The sequence below is a fragment of the Homo sapiens genome, chromosome 8 (assembly GCF_000001405.40).
Source record: "Homo sapiens chromosome 8, GRCh38.p14 Primary Assembly".
NCBI classification, from domain to species: Eukaryota; Metazoa; Chordata; class Mammalia; order Primates; family Hominidae; genus Homo; species Homo sapiens.
Window position 1 is genome coordinate 102,687,077 of NC_000008.11, and position 7,829 is coordinate 102,694,905.

The 7,829-nt window shown below is 43.6% G+C and overlaps 1 pseudogene, besides 2 other annotated features; it reads right to left on the reverse strand.

Annotated features, from left to right (window-relative positions):
- Positions 697-1,197: an enhancer, noted in NCBI's record as "H3K4me1 hESC enhancer chr8:103700001-103700501 (GRCh37/hg19 assembly coordinates)". NCBI's record gives its function as "activates a minimal SCP1, AML or CMV promoter by ChIP-STARR-seq in naive H9 embryonic stem cells {active_cell/tissue: H9 hESC(naive)}" and the evidence as "EXISTENCE:reporter gene assay evidence [ECO:0000049][PMID:30033119]".
- Positions 877-1,856, reverse strand: ADI1P2 (acireductone dioxygenase 1 pseudogene 2; annotated as a pseudogene).
- Positions 1,419-1,929: an enhancer, noted in NCBI's record as "NANOG-H3K4me1 hESC enhancer chr8:103700723-103701233 (GRCh37/hg19 assembly coordinates)". NCBI's record gives its function as "activates a minimal SCP1, AML or CMV promoter by ChIP-STARR-seq in naive H9 embryonic stem cells {active_cell/tissue: H9 hESC(naive)}" and the evidence as "EXISTENCE:reporter gene assay evidence [ECO:0000049][PMID:30033119]".

Sequence of the window (7,829 nt, forward strand, 5' to 3'; positions counted from 1 at the left end):
ACGCTCTTGGCAGAGTTTGGCATTGTTTGTTATCAGGGGGTTTGATTTATGTAAAATTGCATTAAATCACTAATAAGGAAGACTTTGTTTAATTTGTATTTTTGGAGGGAAAGAAATATTTTATGGTATAACCATCATAAATCTTACCAGCTCATAAGTGGAGCTTCATTTCCAGATACTGTATGTTAAAGCCACCAATGTTTCAAGAGATTCTAGAGACTATGATGTTTGTTGAATGACTGAGTTTTCCAGCATCATTTCTAGCCTTCATCATATGTTACTACTATCATAACAATAATTATATAAGTTATAAAGAGTCTAAACCCATAGTTTGATAAGTGAAATTAAATATCCTTCTTTTTTTGTAAGGTTTTCCAGGCTGAGCAATGTCTCCCTCCCAGGTAAAGAAACAACACAAAATTAAGGCAATTACTTTATTTTGAACAGGAAGTGGCATAAGCAATTCAGAGTGTGCCCCTAACATAGGAGCTGTTTCCCCATACCCCTCCCCATCCCAGAGTATAATTTTGGGAGAAAGAGGTGTCTTCTTTCTGGTTGGTTATCTACTGTTGCACCTTCTTTTTTTTATTTGTTGAGATGAAGTCTCGCTCTTGTCACCCAGGCTGGAGTGCAATGGTGCGATCTTGGCTCACTGCAACCTCTGCCTCCAGGGTTTAAGCGATTCTCCTGCCTCAGCCTCCCAAGTAGCTGGGATTACAGGCACCTGCCACCACACCCTGCTCATTTTTGTATTTTTAGTAGAGACGAGGCTTCACCATGTTGGCCGGGCTGGTCTCGAACTCCTGACCTCAGGTGATCCACCTGCTTTGGCCTTCCAAAGTACTGGGATTACAGGCATGAGCCACCGCACCCAGCGCACCTTCTTATAAAGTAAGCACCACATCATCTCTAGAATGAGCATCTAACTGCTCATTGGGAGATGAAACTTCCATTCTGGTTTGAGATGAATGCATGGACTCACATAGGGCTACTGAACCACTAGTCTTGACTGAGTTAGAGAGAATGAAGGTAACATGTTTATATTTCCAAGTTGCTTCCATTGTAAAACTCAGTTTTATAGCTCCTTTTGTTAGAAAATATTCTGGTAAAATAATCTTACAAAGGGAAGATAACCTAGCCTCAAGTCTATCATATAAAAGCAAAGAGACAATGATTGATTTTCTGCTCAGTTGTCATGTTTAGGACTTTTACAGGACACATGTTAATTCCCAGGGAACACTGCTATGCTGTTTGTGCCAGAAATTTCCTGTATTGTCCCCAGGCATCAAAAAGGTCACCTGGCCAGTTGTACACAGTCCACACTGGGTCTCCCACAAACAGCTGCATGGCCTTCATCTAGATCTTTTCCTCCAGCAGGAAGTGATAAATTCCTGTGGGGAGAGTTATGATGTCTCCTTACTCCAGAAAGATCCCCATCCATTTGTACTCTTTTATCTCTCACATCAAAGTACCTGCTGCAGGAGGGGTGGTGGCTCGGCTCACCTTGTAATCCCAGCTACCTGGGAGGCTAAGGTGATCCCTTGAGGCCAGGAGTTAGAGACCAGCCTGAGCAACATAGTGAGGCCTTATCTCCAAAAAGAAAAAAAAAGGCAGGGGCGGTGTGGGGGAAGAAAGAGAAAACAAATGTAGCAGAACTCATCATCCAAGTGCAAATACCACTCATAAAACATCTTAATCTTTTCTTCACAATTTGATAGTTTATCTTTGCACATTGTTGTTATGTCCATCCAGGAGTAGTTTCTCTCCTTTCTTATTCTAATTCTGAATCATCCTGATACTGGTCAGCATCCAGCTTCTAGTAGAGCACCCGAGGCAACACAGCTGCTTTAGGCCCATGAGCAGAGGAATGTGGGCGGCTCAGGGGGCTCATCCACGTATTAGGACTGACCATGGCCTCAGACGCCCTGGCAGAGCAGGCCCAGCAAGCAGAGGTTGCCTGGGACAGCGGCTGCTGGAGAGGTGAGGGGTCGTGGTGATCCAATCTGAAGGTCCGCAAGCTCTCTGAGAAACACTTAAAAAAAAAAATCTAATTCATCTATACTAGAGGCTACTGGGACTCCTATATGATCAAGCCCGTAGTTTGTTGCAATTAATATTTAAAGCTTTTTCTCCAAAGGTCACAGGGATCTTTGCAGCAGCTTCCTGGAGGAGGTTCATACCAACTCCCCAGAGTCAACATGTGCCTGTCTTCCCAAGTCTGTGCTCAGAGACCAGGTGTTGATAGTTTGAAATCAGCCCTGGTGGAGTATTTACACCAGGGAAATTGGCAAACGCCACAAATCAGGATTTTTTTTTTTTCCTGGAGATGCTGTTTTTTAAACATTTGCTGCCAGTCCACCAAACAATTGTCTCAAATATCATATAATAGTAGGTTATGTACCCTACATTATGATATGTTTTTAAAAACTAACTAGTGGCTGCCGGGCTCAGTGGCTCATGCCTGTAATCCCAGCACTTTGGGAGGCTGAGGCAGGTGGATCACGAGGTCAGGAGATCAAGACCATCCTGGCTAACATGGTGAAACCCCGTCTCTACTAAAAATACAAAAAAAATTAGCCGGGCATGGTGGCGGGCACCTGTAGTCTCAGCTACTCAGGAGGCTGAGGCAGGAGAATGGCATGAACCTGGGAGGTGGAGCTTGCAGTGAGCTGAGATAGCGCCACTGCATCCCAGCCTGGGCAGCAGAGTGAGACTCTGTCTCAAAAAAAAAAAAAAAAAAGAAAAAGAAAACTAACTAGTGGCTGGGCGTGGTGGTTCATGCCTGTAATCCCGGCACTTTGGGAGGCCAAGGTGGGCAGATCACTTGAGGTCAGGAGTTTGAGACCAGCCTGGCCAACATGGTGAAACCCTGTCTCTACTAAAAATTACAAAAATTAGCCAGACATGGTGGCACACGCCTGTAATCCCAGCTACTTGGAAGCTGAGGCAGGAGAATTGCTTGAATCTGGGAGGTGGAGGTTTCAGTGAGCCGAGATCAAGCCACTGCCCTCCAGCCTGGGTGACAGAGTAAGACTCTATCTCAAAAAATTAAAAAATCAAAATAAAAAATAACTAGTTTTTAAATAGAAAAAGCCATATATATACGTGTGTGTTGGATAGAGTACAGTAGAAACTTTTGTTTAAAAGAGACCTAAAAATATAGTGGTTTAAATAAAATAGAAGTTTCTTTTTCTCCCAGGTAAAGGTCCCAAGTTAGACTTCCCAGCATCATGAAGGCAACTCGATTTTCTTCAATATATTCCTTCAGTCTGTGGGTCTAAGGTGGCTGCTCTAGCTCCCACCATCATGTCTGTATCCCAGTGATCCAGAAGGGGAAAATGACAAGCGCAAACTTTATCCATTCCTTTTAAAGGCATGGCCCAGAGATTACACATATCTTTTCTGCTCTCATTCTACTGTCTAGAACCTAGTTACGTGGCCTAGTACAAGGGAAGCTGGGAAGCATAATCTTTAGTCTGACTCCCCCAGGCCCAGCTAAAACCCAGGATTTCTATAGTTAAAGGAAAAAAGAGAGGGTGGATATTGGTGGTTAACTGGCAGTTGTGGTCCCCACAGTGTAAAAATTCAAGTGATATGACAGATTGGACAGAGAGCTGGCATCCCTCCCCCAACTCTGGCTTCTAGTCTTCCTCGCTAAAGGGAGTTTCCAGAGTTTCTGTGGCTGTAATAGCATATGTGTATATGTTCTCTCTTGGGAGGCCATGTAGCTCCAAAGATTAAAATGTGGACTTAGGTGTCAGAATGCCCTGGTGATGCCCTGGTGTTGATCCCAGCTCCATGGCTGACTAGCTGTGTGAACATAGGCAATATACTTAGCCTCTGTACTGTAGGTCTCCATATGTAAAATGGAGATGACAATAGTACCTACCTTTCTGGGTTCCCATGAAGATGAAATGTGATCATATACTTGGTGCTTTAATCAGTTTCTCGTACATAATAAGTGAACACTCATATAGGGGCTGTTACAATTCTACTTGTATCAATTTAATAATATGGAATGTTTATTTATTTAAAAATAACAACATTGATTTTATGCACCTACCTCATCTTTATGGTCCCCTTGGCTCTGTTGCTTAGAAGTGATCAGTTCTCATCACAGAGGAAACAGATGGGTTGTGGAGTTAGAAGACCTGGATTTGAATTAGGTTCTAATTTGAATTAGTATTTGAATTAATCATTCAAACTCCCTGAGTCTGTGTTTCTCAATTTATAAAACAGAGAAAATAATATTATCTCCCGGAGTTGTGATGAGGATCAAACAACACCATGTAGGTGGAAATGTGTCATAACTATTAAATTGCTATTCCATATTAAATCTGAGAACCACGTTGGGAAGCATTTTAGAGGTCATTTGGTCCAACTGGTTACAGGGCGGAGGCAATAGAATGGGCTTCTTGCAATGAAACTGACCCAGTGGTCCCATAGACAGTTTTGTTTTTTGTTTTTTGTTTTTTGTTTTTAAATAAACATAGAAATTAACCCTCTGGTCTTAAAGCTTGCTGCTTACATTGGTTTTATCTGAGTTCCTTCACTCAGCAAAGGACCCCTAGGCCTCTCAAAAAATGTCACAGAACTGAAACTCACAAGATTGTCAACAAGACGCCAGGCCCCTCATTCATCATGATTGCTTCCTTACCCCACTGAGTACCTGTTTTCCCATATCTGGTTACATTTCTTTCCTGCTGTATAAAACCCCAGTTTCAATGGATCAAGGAGATGGATTTGAGACTGATCTCCCATCTCCTCACCTGTAGCACCCGATTAAAACCTTCCTTGGCAATAATCATTGTCTCCGTGATTGGCTTCCGTGCAGTGAGCAGCAGGACCTAGACCAACCCCCTGGTGTTTCGCTAAGAGCAGCACCTGCACTACACAGAGGCAGGTTGCCAATAGTCATCTGTACAGATGACTCAATAATTCACATTGAATTGGTTATTTTCTGTCTCCCTCACTGCCACCTCTCCAGGCCAGGCCAAGCAAACACCCATCCACATGAGAAGTACTGGAATGACCTCTTAAATGATCTTCCTTTTTTAAATTTTGTCCTTTAATCAGCCCATTCTCCAAGCAACTGTCAGTCATCTTTTAGACAAAACAAAACAAAAGGTCTGATGCTGTGTGACTTCTCTGCTTTCAAACATTTAATGGACTTCCATTTTCAATAATATGGCGGGATAGGCTTCAGACGAACCCTCCATTGTACGATACATACTCAGAATCTTTAAGGTATCAATGACTTGGCAGGATAATAAAGAGTTGTCTGATAGGTTCAAATCCAAGTAAAACTGGGAAGCCAGAAAGGTAAACCGAGGATAGGAGCCACTTTTTTTGCTGAGGAGATTTGCCATAACTGGTGAACTCTGTAATGCACAGTATTGTCCAGGAGTGATATTCAAAATGACATCAACAAAGTCAAGCCTAGACCAATCTGGCCTCTAGACTGAAAATAGGTTAAGGGGAAAATGTGGTTGATGGTTGGTGTTCCCTAAACTCGAAGTTTGTGTTTATTACCATTGCACTCTTCATACTGACTCTCAGAGATTTCCCTAAACCCTTGGCTCTATGCCTACCACTTAAGGAGATTTCTTCTAAACAGGTGAGAGAGGTACATTAGAGAGAATTACAGAGTCTTTACCTTCTAAATGTTTTTTAATTCCCTGGCTTTCTTTTCCCTTCCATGGTTTCTGAGTCATTTCTCTGTTGTTAGGCAAGGTGCCCAACACTTCATAGCTTGTAATTCCTCTTCACTTTTCAGGAAGTGACTAGACTTTTCAAATCCAGTCTTAGGGCACAGCCTTCTGCTGGCAGAGCTCCCTCACCGGGGCTTTGGAGCTGCACGGAGGCAGAGATGCAGGATATCCAGGTAGACAGCACCTTGTTGACTGAAGGGCTCCTTCAGAGGACTGGGGAGTATCCGTGTTTCAGTATCTCTGCACCCTAGCTTAATAGAGAGTGTGGACAAAGTGGACGGACAAAAATCCAAGAAGGAAACAGTGAAGATCTGAGAAGCAAAATGGTGCAGTGTAGACATTAAGAATCTCTTTTTAGGATAAAAGAGATCTAAGACTAAATCCTGGCTCTGCCACTTTAAAATGGTGTGATCTTTGCCAAATTATTTAAGCCTCAATTCTTCCATCTGTAAACTAGCAATACTATGAGGTTGAACCATAGGAAATGGCTTTTATGTAATTATTTTCAAATTATTGTGAAATATTTTCAACTTCATATGGGCACAACCTGATAAGTTGGTACCTACCTCATACGGTTGCTGAGAATGAAAGATCATTTATTAAAAAGGGCATAGCAGGCCAGGAGTGGTGGCATGCATCTGTAGTCTCAGCTACTCAGGAGGCTGAGGTGGGAGGATTGTTTGAGCCCAGGAATTCAAGGTCAGCCTGAGTAACATAGAGATATCCTATCTCTGAATAGAGACTGAGAGGGGAAAACAAAGGGCCTAGGACAATGTTTTAGTTTTTTTGAGACAGAGTCTCACTATGTCACCCATGCTGGAGTGCTCAATCTTGGCTCAATCTTGGCTGCAACCTCCGCCTCACTGGTTCAAGCAATTCTTGTGGGATTACAGGCGTGAGCCACCACGCCCCACTAATTTTTGTCTCTTTAGTAGAAACAGGGTTTCACTATGTTGGCCAGGCTGGTCTTGAACTCCTGGCCTCAAGTTATCCGCCCGCCCCGGCCTCCCAAAGTGCTGGGATTACAGGCGTGAGCCACCACGCCTGGCTTCCTAGGACAATTTTTAAGTATTTGAGTAGAGAACTGAAGGAAGTGTGTGAGCAAGCCGGGCAGAAGGAATGGTGAGTGCAAAGTCTCCAAGGCCAAGGCAGCATGCTTGACAGTGTTCCAGGGACAGCAAGGAGACCATTGTGGCTGGACCTGTGAGGGAGTGGGCAGGGCTAGACCACACAGGGCCATGTGGGCCAGTGTGTGTGTGTGTGTGTGTGTGTGTGTGTGTGTGTGTAACTCAATGATGAAAACCAGAGCTAGTGTTTATTGTGAAGGATATTCTGAACACTTATGCAGCACAAAGTAAGTGCTCAATAAACAGAAGTTCAAGAAGCTGAGGATGTAGATGGTATGTAGGTGAATGAAACAGAGAGAAGAACAAGCAGTGACTCTACATAACGCTTTGAGCTAGGCAGCACAAAGTGGGACTTGCTAGGGGAGGAGCTGCGTATTGTGCTCCCAGATGCTGTAAAGAAGGACCCTTGGTCCAGGGGCCAGGATAAAGGGCTGTCTCATGGTGCTTGGCTCATCACGCACTGGGGGCAGGCCAGGAGGTTATTCATGGGTGATTAAAGCTGGTAAATTTAGCATGTTTAGCTATTAGGCACACAGACTCTCGACTCAGCTCTACCAGTTACTACTTCTGTGACACTGGGCAGGCTACTTAACCACTCTGAGACTTAGTTTCCACTTTTGTAAAACAAGAGTAATGATGATACTTCCCCCTTCTGGAGCTGCATGAGGATTAAATGAGATAACTCGAGTAGAGCTCATCGTAAGCAGTCAGTAATTGTTATTATTCCTGGATGCCTCCAGCCCATTAACTACTACTTATATTCAGGCACTTGTGTGAGGACCAAAGGCTACGTCAGAAGAAACCTGACAAGCATCTCCAGGGCCCAGGAAAGCCTGGATAGGAAACTGCAGGCCTTCAGGACAGGCTTCAAGTCAAGCACTGGGATTAGGGGAGAGAAAGGAGTTGTGAGAAGTGCTTGGAGAGAAATGTAGACTTTATTGCAAGCTGAGATTTGATTTTTTGGACCATGAGTTAATGAGGAAGAGCAAGC